Raw genomic sequence first — 19,191 nt, 5'->3', positions numbered from 1 at the left:
TTGAGGGAAAGTAACGGGGATGGCACAGCATCCTATCTGTTATTATCCCTCGGGTGATTGGGAAAGGGGAAGGAACAGTTTCCAGAATACAGGGAGAAGAGCTGCATAGACAGGACAGAAACTATAACCTGTGAAGGATGCACCCAACATGTAGTGATTCAATGGAGAGGGAGCTGGGAATGAAACCTCCCCAGCCTCAAGCTTTCTCCCACCCAGGCACCCTGCCAGCATAGGTAGAAGACCAGGAAGCAAAGGAGCCTCTGGATGGGTTCCATAACATTAGCATTCTGAGGCACAATGTAGGGTAGAAAAAGGGGTCTGGAGAGGCAAATACAAGATATCCAAGCAGCGGGCCAAATATTTAACATAGGACTGTTTATGTTATTTAAAACGCATTTGGGAAGCAGCTATGTTCAATTATAATTGTTTTTCCCTAGATAACTAATTATGTTGAATAGGTGACTGCATTCATTTTGTGAAAGCGGAACAATTAAATATTCAGAATTCAGCCAAAGAGTTTATCTTAAGGAACATTTCAAGTTTTGAAAAATTTACATTTATATCAGAGTTATGCTCATTTGCATTTAATGATCATATTATTTCAAAAACATTCATTATTTAACAAAGAATAATGAACTGCGTTCCCTTCTCTTTTCTCAATTTCGGCTGTAATTTAATACACGGTATGGTGTTCGTTTTCATAAACTGCACATAAACTGAAACATATATATTTGGTTAGCAGTATTTATTACATAAAAAGAACATCATGGGGTTCTTGGGTAGAAAGTATAAAGAAATGGAAAGGGTTGTAAAAGAATAAAGTAACTTCGTTACACTATTATTTATATCATCCTTTATTCTTTTAGAGTGCATGTTTGGAAGGTAATAATTCAAACTGTGTTCTATTTTGTTTGGGTTTTAATTGTTGAAACTTCTGTAGATAATCAATATCACATGCTGCTTAACTGAAAAATAATCTAGACAGTCTCTTTCATTCATGGTTGTCTTTGATACTTTTAAGGATTAACTCAAGTCTGCAGAGGAAGCTTCGGACAGTGGTTAAGCTTGTGGACATTAGTAATAGATTTCATGTTTTAAAAGTATGGTTGAAGAGGTGCTCACCCTCTATGGTTGTTGTGAAGATTATGTGTGTGTAATATTTAAAGTGCTTAGTGCCTAGCATACAGTAAATGCTCAACTAACTCCACTTCCCTTTGCACTACATGTTTGCCTAGTTAACATGTTATGCCTAGATCTCTTCACAAAGATAACTAACTCACAGGAGCCTTCCTTGATCCACTGATTATAAGAAGCTCTCTAATATACCTCTTTAGGGTAACCTCTATTTTTCCTTTATAGTACTTGGTTTGTAATTATGTGCCTGTGGGTTTACTAAATTAATGTCTGTTTCTCTTGCTAGGCTCTGAGCATTTTGAAACTGTGTTTGTTTTACTAGCCAGTGTCACATGATAGCAATAAAAGTAATATGTGTACAGGAACTTACTGACTGACAGAAAGTCTCCAGAGTACTGGGAATGCTGGTAGGCATACTGCATTTGTTCAATAAATACCTTGATAATCAGGTTGCAACAGACACTGACCTGGAAATGCATTTAGAAGACAATGATCTTCAACCCAGAATTGTTCCTGAGTGGAAAGTACTTGCTGAGCTTTAACTGTACAGTAGCTTTGATCATGTGAAATTAAAATGTATGCTTCTTCCTGTTCCAGAAGCCAAAGAGTACAGGGAGTCCAATGTCTGTCTCGCTCAGGTACCAGATAAGGTTTTAGAGTTATCAGTAGCAAGTCTTGCTCACAAAAGACTTAGCTTCAAACACTGAAGCACCTCTCTCCATAACTTTAGTCTCAATTGTTAAGAAAATATTTTTCAAATGAATAAATTTTGTTTGCACAAGTCAAAAGAATTTGAAGTTTGCTTATACTATGAACAGATATTTATTAAGCACCTATTATGTACAATGGTTTGGGAGACAAGCCATTCATGGAGGAGAACTGTTTTGTTTTTTTTTTTAACCAGAAATCCAAGGGGGCTTTTCTGAGATTGAAGAGCAACAACAGGAGGCTAGAGTGGGTTGTGCAAGAAGCAGCCAGACACAGGGGAGGAGAAAATGAAAAAAAAAAAAATGGAGTAAGCATTTTGGGGATGATTGAAATATGGGGCAAAAGAGAGAGATTTCGGCTGCTGTTATGAATGGGAAATGTATTAGTTATCTATTGCTATGTAACAAATTACCCCAAGCCTGGGCGCTTAAAACAGCAAATACTTAGAAATACACAATTCTGTGGGTCAGGGATCTGAGCGCAGTTTAGCTATGTGGTACTTGCTCAGGGTCTTTCATGATATTTCACTCAAGCTGTCAGTCAGGCCTGCATTCATCTCAGGGATCAATTAGAGGAGGATCTACTTCCAAGCTCACTCAGGCATCTGTAGGTGGGCCTCAGGCTCTGGCCTTGTGGGCCTCTCCAGATGCTGCCAAGTGTCCTTATAGCATAGCAACCAGCATCACCAGTGCAAGAGAGAGATCAAGAGAGGAACTGAGATGGAAGCCACAGGTTTTTTATAGCCTCATCTTAGAAGTGGTATTCTGCCATTTCTGCCATATTGTATTCACTAGAAGAAAGGCACTAAGCCCAGCCCACTTTCAAGGGGAAAGAAATTAAGTTCTAGAATATTTGGAAGAATTTGGGCATATATATATATATTTTTAGACAGGGTTTCACTCTGTCACCCAGGCTGGAAGGCAGTGGCACTATCTCGGCTCCCTGCAACCTCCACCTCCCAGGTTCAAGCGATTCTCCTGACTCAGCCTCCTGAGTAGCTGGGATTGCAGGTGCCTGCCACCACGCCCAGCTAATTTTTTTTTTTTGTATTTTTAATAGAGACGGGGGTTTCACCATGTTGGCCAGGCTGGTCTCGAACTACTGGCCTCAAGTGTTCTATCTGCCCACCTTGGCCTCCCAAAGTGCTGGGATTACAGGCGTGAGCCACTGCGCCTGACCTTTGCACATATTTTTAAAACCAACAGAAAACTTAGGAGACTATCCAGGTCTCTGTGTGATGCCCTATGTATCATCTTTGGGCTGAGCTTTTAAAGAAAGCTAAAGATATGTAGTAAGAAGTCACCATTTCCCTCAAGCTCCTAGGAATCAACTGTGTGTAGGGGGCAGCAGGAGTTTATGTGCGTGCATATGTGTGTGTGTGTGTGAGAGAGAGAGAAAGAGTAAGTAGAGGCAGGCCTGAAGGCAGCCCAGCTAAAGTCAGATTACATATAAACTGATACCAAAAAGCACAGTGCCTTAGTTCACATCAATGGTGGTCTACAGGAGGGAGGATTCAGCATGGTCTACAGAAGTCAGAAAAGTCTTCATAGAAGAAACATGAGTTGCTCCAGGTCATGAATATTAGTATGTTATATTTATTTAATGTATTTTGCTTATTATTGAGGAAAAGATCATTCAAGTCAGATTTCCGCTCTTTAAATGAAGCAAAATAACTGGGTTCATTTGTTAGCTTATATTATGTCTTTTTTTCCCATCTAAAATACTTTATCTTTTTATATGAAAGTCCCTTATTATTTAAGTTACTGTGTATTGAATAGGGGCGAAAAAAATTCCTTGAATAATGGATGATCTACCTCTTTGGTGCTCCTGCTGTTTAGAGTGTGTGTGTGTGTGTGTGTGTGTGTGTGTGTGTGTGTGTGTCTCCTCACAAGCCTTTGTACATTTATATGATACTGTATGTACCAGGCATGCAAATCTTGAAATAAGGGAAAGTAGGTTGCATCTCCCATCTAAATTCTTCTTAGTCCAAAGTCAGTGCTCTGGGAGCTATGAAACTCCATATTCATCAGTTAAACTTGCTACTTCTGCTGTGGTCATTAGTGGTTCAGGCAAATAGAAGAAAAAGTAACTTCCCTCTACCACATCCCCCTTTATATTATTTCCTTGATCGGGCACAAAACTATTTTGCCACAGAGAACTCTGTTGTTGTTTTTTTTTTCCTGTTTTTTTTTTCTCCTCTTCACTCCTATAATGTCAATGGTGCTGATGCAGCTGCATAATTTGCATAGAAAGTTTCTCAATTCTGTAGTCAGAATACCAATCAGGTGGCCTCTTTCTAAGCATGTTTATTCTTTCTTAATTGACTCTTCACTTGCATGCTTTCATGCACAGTGCATATCTGCTTGTATATTCTCAGCCATCTGTCAAACACTCACCAAGCCTAAAGAGTGGCCTCATAAGCCAACTTGAACACTATGAAAACATTGGTATGTGGCCCAATATTATAGAACTGTGATCAAAATCTTCTTTTTTAAAAAAAGCGATCAATAAAAATATATAACCCTAGAGTCTTGGTTGACTTACATTGATTATATTTATTAACATGTAAGTCTGCATTCACCAAGATAGAGCCAGCTATATATTTATGGTAAGTGACCTTTTAGTTATAAACAACTGCATTTATCCACTCCAACTGTAAGCAATCCTATATGATTTCCAGCCCATAGAAAGGAATCCACTTTGTCATTCTATTAGTAATTGCTACCCAGAGTAAGACTAGCTGATCATAAATTTTGGACTTTACTAATGAGAAGAACATTTGGAAATATACCCATGGGAAGAATAGGACAAAATAGTTTAAATTGAAAGTCCTAAAAAATCCTAGAAAAATCTGGGTTTGATGGTCACATACTCATAGATCATCTAGTTCAATTTCCCTTCTAGTGCTTTAAACAACTTCAGAAAATATCATTCAACAAAAGCCATATTGCTAAACTTGAAATATATTCAATGAAGATGTAACCTATTATCTCTCAATTCATTCCATAAAACTTAAAGTGCCGTCTCTCTGCCAGGACCTGTGCTGAGAGTTGGTAGTATAAAACTGAGGAAGGCTTGAGCCTCTGCCCTCCCACATCTCATCCCTTCCATTTCTGGCTACTTCTATATTTAGAAAGTGATTGCATTTATTTAGTAAAAATCCTCCCTAGAAGATCCAACGATCTTTGGTTTGCCATCTGGGAGTTATGCAGACAAGACAAATCTCTTCTTTATCTTGCTAGTCCTTTAGATTTGAAGACAGTTATATCCACTCTGAATCTTTTCTTTTTCAGAGGCCTCTGGTCTTGGAAAATCCAGGTTATTTTCCTTTGACAACATTTTGATTTGAAAATGTCCACTTTCAAATGTGGGTTGCTGAACCTGATACAGTTTACTTTAGGCATGCATATCTGGACACCCTAGAAAAGACTGAAAAGAACACTTTAAGCCAGAAGTGTGGATTATTAATGGATTCTGCGGGTTTGTAATCAGAGAATGGAAACATGATGATTTTTCTTAGACTGCATTCATTCCCCCAAGTCCTGCCATCTATTGGCCAGATAATATCATAAATAGCAGAGTAAATCCCCTTAGCTAAAGTCCTTGTTTTCTAGGTCGTATTGTTATCACCCTGGACATTTTTTATGACTTATATAACTCATGAATAATAACATACTCATCCTCAAGTAATAATTAAATCTTCATTTGCAATAGAACCTTTTGCTTTAGGGAAAAAGAACACTGCCTAATCACATAAACATGAAATGCATCTGTTCAAAATAAAACAGACATTTTTATAATGTTATGCATTTTTTAAAAGTTAAATAAGCAAGGAAAAAAGAAATAATGCTGAGTAAGGAAAATAAAAGGGAACAGAGTAAAACTTTGGTAATTTAAGCTGTTACTTTTTAAAAATGAGAACATGTATATATGCTATAATACATGCTGATTGCAAAACATAATTTCAGAAAAATAATTTCATAAAGACAAGCATAAAGGAAAGAGAAAGTGAAGATGATCTGGTATACCATTAACATCAAATGCTTTTCATCATTTTCTTGACAACCCAGGACTACTGCTAACAATTTGATGTATGTCCTTCAGGACCCGTTCTCTCTCTCTCTGTGTATGTATATGTATACATGTATGTATATGTATACATGTATGTATATGTATACATATACATACACAGATGTGGGTGTAAAACTATAAACTGCAGTCACAATGGACACATTTAGTAGCTTGTTATCAAATAATTAACATAGTGTGAATAACTTTCCATCGTAAGTACAACACTATATGAATACTCTTGATGATAGAATTATATAGAGGCACCATAAGAATTTTAAACTTCTTCTAATAACAGACATTTGGCTACTCTACAGTTTTTTCCCATTATAATCAAATATATGCACCCATATTTCTGCCCATTGTCTGATTATCTACTTGGGATAAATCCAGTGAAGGACAATCCTTGGCTCAAAAGGTAAATACAAATAAAAAATTTGATATATCTTGCCAAACCACTCTCTGGAAAGTTTAACAATGTACATTCTTCCCAGCAATATATGAGAATGCCATTCATCACATTCTCACAAGCCAATGGTTTCATTTTAATTTTCGAGAATTTGATTTTTGTTGAATCTACATTGCTTTGAGTACTGTAAAGGGTGAAAATCTTTGCATAAGTTTATTGGCTATTTATATTTTCTCTTGTAAATATGCTTTGTTAATTTTCCCATTAGTGTGGTAACCTTTTTCTTATTGATTATATAGAATATTAAGACTATTATGCCTTTTCTGTCATTTATACTGGAAATTTTATTTTTAGAGTTTGATTTTTAAATTTGTTTATGATGTTTCCCTCCCCTAGAATAGAAATTTTAAATTTTGATATAGTCAATAATATTAGTGGCCTCTGGTATCTTACAGTCTTGACAATAGTTAGACATTTCCCAAGGTGGTCCATATAAGGCAGTTTCTCTATAACAGAAAACATGACTAATATAGACATGTGTTATTCCATTACCAGCTTTTAATTTCCTGGTCATGGGCTTAATGATTAATAATTTAAGATATTGATTTAGGTTTTTCAGTCCACACACCAAAATAATATTTTCCAAATATAACTTTGTGTAATTAATCAATAAAATAAAACTTTTCTCCTTTACATTAATTGATTTAGTGAACAATTATTGAACACTAGGTGAATGTATGTAACTCCTATACTCAGAAAAACAGGAGAAACAATAATGTCAGTTACCCAGATCTCATGGAATTACAGATAGTAATAGGTTGCTTGAGATATCACTTTATAATTAGAAGTCAATTTCTAGGAGAGTGGATGCTGACAGTATTTTTGAACAAGACATTTAATGTTGGGGAAATAACAAGTAAAAGGTAATGTAAGAGAAAGCACTTTTTATTCCTTCCTTCTTCTCTCGCTTTTTTTTTTCTGTAAGAAAAGTGTCTCTCAGACGAAGCTATGAGGGGATAGTAGGCATGGGTTGGTAGCAAAATGTTAGAGAACTTTTCAGGCAGTAAGAACAGCCTCATACTGCAAGGCAGAGGGAAATGAGCAAGCTGTAATTACGAAAAGGCCAACCTAGCTCAATCAGAGAACTGGTCACAGAGGAGCTGAGATTGATGCTCGTGGGCCAACAGATGGGAAGACTTGGGTGACAGTCTCAAGAGTTGAGATGTCATGTGATCTGTGATGGAAATCATCTTTAAATTATGCTTCTGCCATTTATCAGTTATTTTGCTGGAGACAGATTCCTTGAATTTCTCTTAAAAGATTTATATTTAGAGAGGGATGATTATTTTTCTGTGCTTCGGAGAAAAAGGACTGGAGTGAAGTTTGATAAATTGTATATCCAAGCATCAACCATTTTCTTTAAATGATAGATTCTAAAGTCAGTTAGTCACACATGCCAGGTAGAGCAGATAGAGTTATTTTAACACAACAATTTCTGATTGATTTTCTTTAGCAACACCCAATGTGAGTAGGTCAAACTACAAATTATGGCCTGTATGATCTTCTCTTCCAGCAGTTTGCTAATAGGATCATCCAACAAGAAAAAAGCCTTTTTCAAGATTAAAAACATCATCTGGATAAGTTTAGATTATTTTGATAGGTACATCTCAAGGGTAAACTGAAGAGAAAAAAAGATATCTTTATAGCTGTGCTTCAGTTGCCTTCCTCGTTTCCAAAATATGATCTAATGTGCAATGCTGTTTTGGTCTTTTTTTTCTTAAAAGGGTGAATGTTTACGTAAGTCTCATATTTTGTTTATTCAGGACACTATAACTTTATAGTTTAAAGAAAGAAAATAAAATTTATGTTTTTATATGGTTATTTTCTGCCACAAAGCTAACAATGTTTAAGTATAGTGTCATTAACACCCACAATCTGTGTGGGTTTTGAAATAAGGAAGGAAAAAGTGTTTTATTTTGTTTTTGCTATAGGAATAAGTGCTCAGAACATGAAATTATATACAGTTGACATTCACTGACTTTAGAGAGGTCCTGCATTTATTGACCTTAAGTGGTATTATTTCGGGTTATGAAAGGCTGCCAAAATGTGACTCTAGTCAAGGTAAGCACTTAGGCATATTTATGATTTTCTTTAAATATCTTTCTAAGTATATCATATTTATTATAATCAGATTCTGCTACAGAACCGCTTTCAAAAACAGGGCCTCCACCAATGGCTGCACAATCTGTACAATGCACAACTCCATTAAACACATGGACTGCAATGTGAATGGTGCCCCTGGAGCTGTGCAATGGGGCTTATGTGAAAATGCCCATGCTGCAAAATAAAATATTGAAACAGATTGAGTGAGTTGGCTTAAATGATTACAAATAAAGCTATACCTATCTAACACATTTTGTAAGTTAGAAAAATTATTAAAGCAGACTTAATCTTATGTTTTTATATCCAAACACAAATGTGTATATATGTGTGTGTGTATTGAAATGCATACATAGGATATAACCTTTGAAAATACAAATGATCTAAGATTTGATGTGTTGCCACTTTGGTGAAATTAAGCTGAATAAATATTTTTACAATATGATAAAAATGCATAATTCATGATAGAAATTTTATTTTCTTGGGGAAAATTTGGGATGTTATAGCACCACACTAGATTTTTACTCTATAAATGACTTTTTAGTAAACCTAGTTTATATTGAAATTTTAAATATGGTAGCAACACACTTGTAAAGCACTTAATTTTATGGATTGAGAGTTCACGTATTTTTTCCTATGCAGCCTTTCGTCTTGTAAAAACCCAGATGAAGTCACTCTGTCTATCAATATGTTAATAAGTTTGTTTATATGCTGCACTTAATTTACAAAATGTGCCTTAGCATTATACTTCTTGGGAATGAACTAAGGAACAATTTTATTATTGTACAAAAATATGTGAAGACATTCACATTGTAAAAGACTAACATTAAATCTGAAATATACAGAATAAAATGTCCCTTTTCACATCCTATTCCATTCCTATTTCCACCCAACTACCCAAAAGTAAGCCATATTAATTGTTAGTATAAATTCTTTTGGTTTTTATACAATCACTTACATGCATATACATGTCTACATATTTTCATGTTTATTTACTTTTAAAAATAAATGGGAACACTATTCATATTGTTCTACTTCTACACTTTTTAAATTAAGAATATATTTTAGAGATATTAACATAACCATACATAGGAATCTACTACATTCATTCTAAAGACTTGATAGTTTTTTATAGTGTGACTATACTTCATTTTATTTAAATGAATGTACACAACAAGTATTTATTGAGTACTTCCTTTAAATAAAGTATTTCCCTTCTGATTTACCTTCTGCAATTTTTAGCTGTAATAAACCATGCTTTGATGAATATTCAGGTAGGAAAAGCTTTATATAATATGAGTACATATGTCTACAGAGAAGATATTTAGGGAAGAAAGATATTCACATTCACAAAAACTTTATAGATTTTGCCAATCTGCTCTCCACAGTGGCTTTACAAATTTAACCTTGCACCAACTAAATACAGCTATGTTTTCTTGCATCCTCATTAACAAGGTATTAATCCATCTTTTTACTATTAGCTAATCTTATATTTAAGAAATACATATTTTTTGCAGGTCCTTGATAACTATTAAGGTTGGATATCTTTATATCTGTTTATTGGTAAAGTATGTTATCTGTTCATATTCTTTGCCCATGTTTCCGTTGCCTTGTTTGCCTTTTTCTTATTTTATCAAAGAAACTATTTGTGTATAAAATATTTTTGGGCTGGAATCAGTGGCTCACACCTGTAATCCCAGCACTTTAGGGGGCTGCAACTGAAGGATCACTTGAGGCCAGGACTTCAAGATCAGCCTGGGCAACAAAGTGAGACCCCCATCTCAACCAAAAAAATAAAAATAAAAAATTAGCCGGGTATGAGGGTGTGTGTCTGTAGTCCCAGCTACATGGGAGGCTGAGGTGGAAGGATCACTTGAGCCCAGGAGTTCAAAGCTGCAGTGAGCTATAATCACATGACTGCATTCCGGCCTGAGCAACAGAATGAGACCCTATCTCTAAAATGATGAAAAAAAGAATTGACCTTCATATGTTAATTTGCAAATGTTTTCTCCCAGTGACTTAAAAAATTTTATTCACAGTATTTTTCATCACATCTTAAAAAATGTATATGGCCAATTCCACATTTAAAAATATTTTCCTTCATATTTTTCTCATATTTATTACTATAGTTTTGCATTTTAAATTTAGTACTTCAGCTGATTTTATTGTTCCATCTTCCTCCTCTCTTAGCTTAGCATTATCATTTATTCAATGCTTCCCCCAAGGATATAATAGGCATCCTTGACTTATTAAATATTTATAAGTGAGTACTTTTACTTTCCTCAAAAACAATGGGAAGGGCTTAGAAAACTAACCCACTTACCTTGCTGTCAACTTATATGCTATTGTCATCGTGTATTTTAAACCTCACAAAACATTTTGTGCAACACATTTGATATTTATTTAGATTCATCGATAGATCTATCCATCCATCCATCCATCCATCTTAATCTGTCCCGTTTCACTTGCTCTTCATTCCTTTCTATTTCTCTCACTTTCTGTTTGGAATCATTTTCTTTATGCCTGGAGAGCACCCATTAGTATTTCCTTTAGTGTGTTTCTGTTTGTAATAAATGTACTTATTTTTTTGATCTAAAAATCCCTCTATTAAAATCCTCATATTGTCTGTTCATATTCTTTGCCCATGTTTCTGTTGCCTTCTTTGCCTTTTTCTTATTTTATCACAGAAAGGGTTTTTTTCTCGGAATGAAGTTCTAGATTGACAGTTATTTTCTTAGGACAATTTGAAATTACTTCATGGTCCTCTGGCTCTCATTATTACTGTTGAGAAGTTGACTGTCAGTCTTATTGCTACTTCTTTAAAGGACATATGTCTTTTGTTTTCTATGGCTGGTTTTAAGATTGTCTTCATCTTTCATTTTTAGAAATTTTACTATAATATGCTTAGGTATGGATTTACATGTATTTTGGGTTCAAGTAATATGTTTGGTGTAGATTTACATGTATTTGGGGTTCAAGTAAATCCTAAATCTATGTCCTACTGGTGTTGGTTAGTTCTGGAAAATTAATGCTTCACATGTGACTTCTATCTTCTCATTCTAGAATTGACTTTTGTACTCTCATTATACCTTTTACTATATCCATACTCTCTTACCCAGTTTCTGTGTTTATCATGCTTTTGCATCCCCATGCTTTATTTTAGATTTTTTTTTTTTGATTTATCTTCCACTTTATCAATTTTTCTCTTCAGTTATGGACTAACTTGTTAAACACATCCATTTGGTTTTTAATTTTTATTGTATTTTTCTATTACAGAACATCCATTTAATATTGTAATCTTTTTTTATCTGCTAAAATTTATATATTTTATATTTTTTTATTTCTTAAGGATAATTATTTTCAAGCACATGACTAATTACTCCATCATCTGGAGCACTTGTGGTCTATTTTTGTTTTCTGTGTGATTTTTATTATATGACAAACACTGGTTATGAAAAACTGTTGATACAATCTGGAGTGTAACATGATTTTATTTTACAGAGGAAGTTAACAACACTATACACATCCAACCTAAATCCACCAGAAATGGAGAACATTTGGAATTGAAGTTCAGTCCATGGTAGCTAGGGCTGATCTCCTAAAACGTGGTCTTGTGCAGACCCAACATGCTACCTGCAAAATTTGCTATATTCTCTTCCCCCTCCAATTTTTGTTCTCCTAGCTCCACGTGTCTACCAAAGCTTCACTTCTCAGCTTTTAAGTCTCTTAGCCACCTTTTCCAAACTTGTAGATGCCCATAGATAGAAAGCATTTCTGAGTGTCAGGCTCATAATCTTTTTTGAGCTTTGCTAGCTGAGCTTTCAAACATTTAAGTCTTAAAAAAATCTTGTCCAATTTTTCTAGTTGTTCTCAGTGGAAGTGTTGACCAAATTATAGTTTGCCATTATGGAATATGTCTTCCATTATGGGAAATGAATCTGTTAATAAATTGGATTCATTTTTAAGTTCGGTATAAGGTAAAAATCTAATTTCTTTTTAACAAACACATAGCCAATTATCCCAAGTAATTGTACATGCCAATTTACTAAATCTTTGTATATGCCACACACTAAAAATCCACGTATGCACAGGTTTATTTCTAAATTTCATATTTAAGAAAAATAAACAATAATAATTAAGTATTAAAACGAACTATGAGAAGGTATTGCCATACTAGATAACAAGACAGTTGATAAAGTTGTGGCCTCTTCCTCCATCTTCCAGGCCAACAGTGTGACATTTTCAAATCTCCCTTTTTCTGACTCTGATCCTCCTGCTTTCCTCTTTCTCTTATATGGAGATTACATTGATCCCACTTCAGTAATCTAGAATAATCGCTCCATCTCAAATTCATTAACTTAATCAAATCCTCGAAGTCCCTTTTACCATGTAAAGTAATACACTAACAAGTTCCAGAAATTAGTAACAGTAATCATCAACTATGTGGCCAATATTCATATGCCTCGATTATCTCATAACTGTTTTGTGTTTGTGGTTTGGTTTTTCTATCTGTCTGTCTGCAGTAGGATCCAAATAAGATACCTACATTGAATTTGATTCAGTCATTTTTTAATCTATAGGTTCACCTGTTATTTTTTTTTATTTCTTTGCAATTTATTTCTTGAATATTCCATGTCTTCTGCCCTATAGAATCTCCTACACCCTGGTTTGCTAATTGCCTTTTTGTGATATCCTTAAAATATTCCTTTATCTTCCGTATTTCCAGCAAATGAGAAGTTAGGGTTAGAAGACTGACCAAAAGACCAGCCAGTTCAAATTGCAAGAGCAATATATATGGGGTTTTGTATAATTTTATTAAAAAGCAGTGATGTCTGGTTTTCTTTTTGTGATGTCAGGAGCCACTCATCATCATTGCCTAGATCTATTATTTTATTAAAGGTTGACACATGGTGATATTCTATTTCATCATTCTTTCCTCACTTATGAAATGGACACTTCTTTGATTAGAGGGGATTTATGTTTTTTTCTCATCTATCCACAATTAAAGAAACTAAATTTCATCAGTGTTATCTAACTTGAATGCTTGCCTAAGAGTTAAATTTCAAACATTCATGTTTGTCTTGTGGCCATTATTTGGTCCCAGAGCCCTGAGATCAGCATGAATAATCATATTGCTGGGGCAGGCCCCTACCTCCTCCATGAAAGGTTGTTAATTTAAAAACAGGTATTTGTACCAAGGGTTAGCAAACACTTCTAAAATGTCATAAAATACTTTCACTAATCCTTTAAAATGCCATGAGTGGCCTAATTCTTGAAGCCCCAGTATCATTCTCTTAAAGATTTTTTTTTATTGCTCTGGTCAGCTTGGGGAAAATACAAATGACAATGGAAAATAAAGCAGCCAAGCCTGTCTACTTTCTCCACTTTATCTTTCCATAGCATAAATGTCACCTAAATATATCCTTACAATATAGAAGAAAGGCATGATTGTGTAATTAACAAAGGAAAAGGGAGTTCTTTCTGAAATTTTTTCTTGATCACTCTCAATATCAACTTATGCTGTTATTGAAGCCACTATCATTTTCCCAAAGTTTTGCTTGAATAGATGAGATAGGATTATATTCCAAACTGATAATTATTGCAAGGGCTGTCACGCGATATGAGGTAATTCTGAAATGGAAACGTTTTTCAGTGAAACTTTGTCAAGTGACACCTAATTTAAGCTACAGTATGAGGAGACTGCAAAGAAGTAATTTTTATGAAAGTCAGAAGCAAAAAGGGTTCCTTGTTTTCTGGCAGTTCACTTTTAAAAGTCTAGCATTAGAACAAGTACCCAAATGAAGAGTGAGTAATGGTGACTGAGGTGTTTATGAAGCAAGTAATTTATAAATCCCAGAATAACAATACCCAGGAAGTCAGAATAGCTGGCATGTTCCATGTGGTTCTTAATATCAGGAAAATTACAAAGATAATGTGAATATCCTGTTACTCACTGTTTATTTCTGATTATGGCCACTCCTGTCCCTGGTACTTCTAGGAGGCAACAAAGCCCCTTAAAGTAATTGTGGACCTACAGAAGCACTATTTCTTTAATGGCATCTTTAGTCTTCTTAAAATGATTTCCTGGAATCTACAAGGAACTTAAACAAATTTACAAGAAAAAAACAAGCAACCCCATCCAGAAGCGGGTGAAGGATATGAACAGACACTTCTCAAAAGAAGACATTTATGTGGCCAACGAACATATGAAAAGAAGCCCATCATCACTGGTCATTAGAGGAATGCAAATCAAACCCACAATGAGATACAATCTCACACTAGTTAAAATGGTGATCATTAAAAAGTCAGGAAACAACAGATGCTGGAGAGGATGTGGAGAAACAGGAACGCTTTTACAGTGTTGGTGGGAGTGTAAATTAGTTCAACCATTGTGGAAGACAGTATAGTGATTCCTCAAGGATCTAGAACCAGAAATACTATTTGACCCAGCAATCCCATTACTAGGTATATACCCAAAGGATTATAAATCATTCTACTATAAAGATACATGTACACATATGTTTATTGAAGCAGTATTCACAATAGCAAAGACTTGAAACCAACCCAAATGCCCATCAATGATAGACTGGATAAAGAAAATGTGGCACATATACACCATGGAATACTATGCAGCCATAAAAAAGGATGAGTTCATGTCCTTTGCAGGGACATGGATGAAGCTGGAAACCATCATTCTCAGCAAACTAACACAGGAACAGAGAACCGAACACCGCATGTTCTCACTCATAAGTGGGAGTTGAACAATGAGAACACATGGGCACAGGGAGGGGAACATCACACACTGGGGCCTGTTGGGGAGTGGGGGGCAAGGGGAGGGATAGTATTAGGAGAAATACCTAATGTAAATGACGGGTTGATGGGTGCAGCAAACCACCATGGCATGTGTATACCTATGTAACAAACCTGCACGTTCTGCACATGTATCCCAGAACTTAAAGTATAATAAAAAATAAAATAAAACAAAATAAAGTAAAAACATGTTTTCCTACTCAGAATTCATTTCTAGGAATTACAAATATGTGATTATAAGTAAGTTTGTTTGAAAGTGTCTCCAGATAGACCTTTCATTGTAGAACTGCTGTCCTATGCACTAAATTGTTTATGTAGTATTAATTGAGGGGTTACTGTATCCTACATTATACTATATGCTGTAGTAGAAAAGCAGCAGATATCCTTGTCTTCAAGAAAATTACTGTTGAGTTGTAGTAACTACATCAACCCACAGGAAACAATTAGGAAACCATATAACACAGTGAATATTGATATGCTTATTGGTGCAACAGTAGCCCAAATTCAGCAATAAGAGATCATTTGGCACACAATAACAGGATTGATTAGAGAGTTTGTCTAAACCTTTTGTTTGAGATTATGATGCAATTAAGGTAGGTTTGATCCACTGAGGAAGTGGGATCTAAATTAGGTCTTAAACAATGAGTAGAATGAAAAAAAATGTGAAATTAGAAGGGATTTCACTGAGTTACCATTACCTTTACTTTATATAATTATTCTTTTTTGCAAATTACTAGTTGTTTTTTTCTGATTTTATTTGTATGAAGACATATGTACCTTATCCAATTGAACTTTGTCAAATAATCCATAAATACACAAAGTATAAATGATTAACAATGCTTTTAATGCCAAAAGACCACTTATTTTCCTAATGCAACGATCACTTTATATAATTATTCTTTTTGCAAACTACGAGTTGATTATATTAACACTTGAATAATCTTGACAAGAAGTTGCTTTAAGCAGTTAAAGATCCAGATGCTGATCAGCATGCATTAAGTGATTCTGCTTAACTTGTTCCATCTAGATAAATTACTTACCTCAGTTCCTATCACAATTTCTTCCCTGGCAGAGTAGAACATAAACTCGTATAGCTTGTAGTGTTGAAATAAGCTGAAATATAAAATAAATGTGCACTCTGATAAGTTGATTTCAGGAAAAAAAACACAATATGTAAAGACATTTATTAAAGGAAACTTCATATTGACCAAACTAATGCTATCAGACACTAAAACAGACTTAGCATCCTCCTTTATTCCAAAAGAAATTGTCGGGAAATACTAAGAAATTAAGAGTTTTATTCTTTAAGGAAAGGACAATATAACATAGTACCTAGAATAATATCAGTAAATCCATCTGTAATGAGTGGGTAAGTTAGGAATAAGGGAGAAATTAGATGGCATCTTGACTTTTCCTAGCTTAAAAGCAAATAATGCACCATTACTAAATAACATGAAACTTTACATTATTTGCTCTTTTGCTGCAAACAGGAGTCAATTTCCTCTGGTACAAATGGCACTGAATTATATAATCTACCTCTATGTCAATTACTTCTCACATTCTCAAACTGTTTCAAGATTAAATTAATCTATAATAATACCTGAAAAATGGCGCATGAACTAAAATCCATTTAGAAAATGTCTGAGTTTTCTGCAGAATATTCGGTCATACATGAAAGGGAAAAATTAATTTAAGAAAGATCATTTCTTCAGTTCTTACCCTAAAGACTAGGTGGTCAGCATACAAAAACTATAAAGAACCAAAGGATAGGAGGTCCTTAAAACAAGTATTCTAGTAAGTTTAAGGAGCAATGCATTATTAAGAGTTAAAAATTTACTGAAGGGCTGACTTCTAATATCCTGTTTGTGATAATATTTGAATTTTTCTAGTTCTCTTCCTGCTGGTTGAGAAAATTAATAGACTCATAATACAGCAAAATGCCCAAGAACAAAAAATTGTCTTAGTGGTTTCTCTTTCACTCTGGTGCCTTTTGCTATTTAAGGAAATTGATTTTAATATAACTGAGAAATTAACATTTGCAAAATGTAGCTACAGAGCATGTATAATAATGGCTTCTCCTGGATGTTGTAATGGATCAAAGTTTCAATTCATTTGAAATCAATGAAGAAATCCTCCGGCAGCTGAGTCTCTCTGAGTTATATTAGCAGTTGATCTCACTACTAACACAATCCATTAAAAAGTGATGGGTGTGCAGAGTCTGTCATGGTATTTTGGGGGAAAAAAACCTCTTGTACATTCAAATTACTCATCAACATTCAGAAAAGTAACTTAGCTTTTGACAGTACTTTGATTTGTTGGCTAGAAAAATACATCAAGATTAGTGAAGTCTGATAATTCAATGATGCAAAATAAATTCAAACTCTCCCTAACTTACGCTGGTTACCTAGAGAAAGCCTTAAGATAAAAAATATTAGACTGGCAATAACTGATTTTAAGTAGAAAAATTAAAGACTATAGAGTATTTTGGAAACAGCTTGGCTTCCTCTCAGTGAACCGGCATAAAATTTCCCTTTCTCCATCTTGCATCACACAAAGAACTTAGTTCATAAATCTTCTTTCCTGAAATTTCATAATCTTTCAGCCTTATTCTTTTAATTGCATATAGGAATTAGGTTGTCCCATGCCAAGAGGGAAATTCACTTCTTAACACTGAAAACGAAATGCATGATTTGTATGCGGTGGTCAAAGCTGCAGGCTTGGGGGCAAGGCCAGGACTAGGGCCTTGTCCAGCTTTACCAGGAGCGATTAGGTGGTGCTACATGGGAACAAAGTGACACTTCAGCTGCGATAATGCATTTTCTTCTGCTTCTGACTGACTCAACTTCCTAGATTATTTTGTCAAACATTTAGTCTTAGTCCTAAATTGAAGAGAGATGAAGTGAAAATAATTCAAGATGTCTGGCTTGATGCCTGGAAGTGCAATACCCTGTGGTTTACAGAGCGGCAGGGTTGATTTTCTTATTTTGGGTATATGCCTCTTATATTGAGTGTACACCTGAGATTACTATCGCCTAATTCCCAAAAATAGGTAGAATCCACAACGGCAGACGTGTATTTGGGCCGTATATATGTAAATGATGTTTTATACTAAAAAGCTGCAGAAGTATTTATATTTGTATACATGATACAATACACTGTAAAAATGTACAACTAGATTTGCCAGTACTTACAGTCATGTGGGGGAGGAAATTTGGTATTAGTTTTTTTCAAATCACAGACACATGACAGAGTGTGTTAAGGGCATCAAATGAAATTTCCATTTTATTGTCAGTTAAGTTTCATGTGGTATGGGTCATGTTCTAAAAACTGCTCTCCCAAAATTGACTAGGGCTTTTAGTGGTTGGGTAAACTTAATATCGGGTTAAATTCAAACACTTATACTTTTGATAACTGGGTTACCTTCATATTTATAAAACTGCTTTGTAGTCATCAAAATGAAAAATATTATGTGATTTCATTGTCATTAAACTGTTTTTTTTCCTTCAACTTTTAACTTTAAGGGTACATGTGCAGGATGGGTAGGTTTAAACGGGTGCCATGGTGGTTTGCTGCAGAGATCAACCTATCATTTAGGTATTTAGCCCAGCATCTATTAGGTATTCTTCTTGATGCTGCCCCTCCTCTCAGTCCCCGCTAAACTTTCATTTGTGGACCTTTGAGGGGTTCTGAACAGGTGTTGTAGGAAAGCATATTTTCTTTTATACAACTGCAGACTCAATTCCAGATATCCTACTAACTGATATTTTATAGTTCTGTAATAGGGATATTTAAATTGCATAATTTCTTTGAAATAACAATATGACGACTTAACAGCATCAACAATTGCTGTGATTTACTTTGACTAATTTCTTAAATACTACTTTTTGTTTTATTTTTAGTGA

At 34.6% G+C, this 19,191-nt stretch overlaps 1 protein-coding gene across 8 annotated transcripts in view; it reads right to left on the bottom strand.

Moving 5' to 3' along the window:
- Positions 1 to 19,191, bottom strand: part of CABCOCO1 (ciliary associated calcium binding coiled-coil 1) — a 103,838-nt gene that overhangs the window by 59,816 nt on the left and 24,831 nt on the right. For 5 of the 8 annotated variants that reach the window (NM_001366908.2, NM_173554.3, NM_001366906.2 and 2 more), the window contains one exon: positions 16,330 to 16,402. In NM_001366908.2, coding sequence (NP_001353837.1) covers positions 16,330 to 16,402 — 73 coding nt within the window. Of the gene's footprint in view, positions 1 to 4,132; positions 5,272 to 16,329; positions 16,403 to 19,191 lie in introns of those variants that run through there. The other 3 variants (XM_047424714.1, NM_001366909.1, NM_001366907.1) reach the window with 1 other exon arrangement.

Source organism: Homo sapiens, chromosome 10 (genome assembly GCF_000001405.40).
Source record: "Homo sapiens chromosome 10, GRCh38.p14 Primary Assembly".
Classification (NCBI taxonomy): Eukaryota; Metazoa; Chordata; class Mammalia; order Primates; family Hominidae; genus Homo; species Homo sapiens.
The sequence above is the reverse complement of the archived record's forward strand: the minus strand, read 5'-3'. Positions and strand labels throughout refer to the sequence as shown.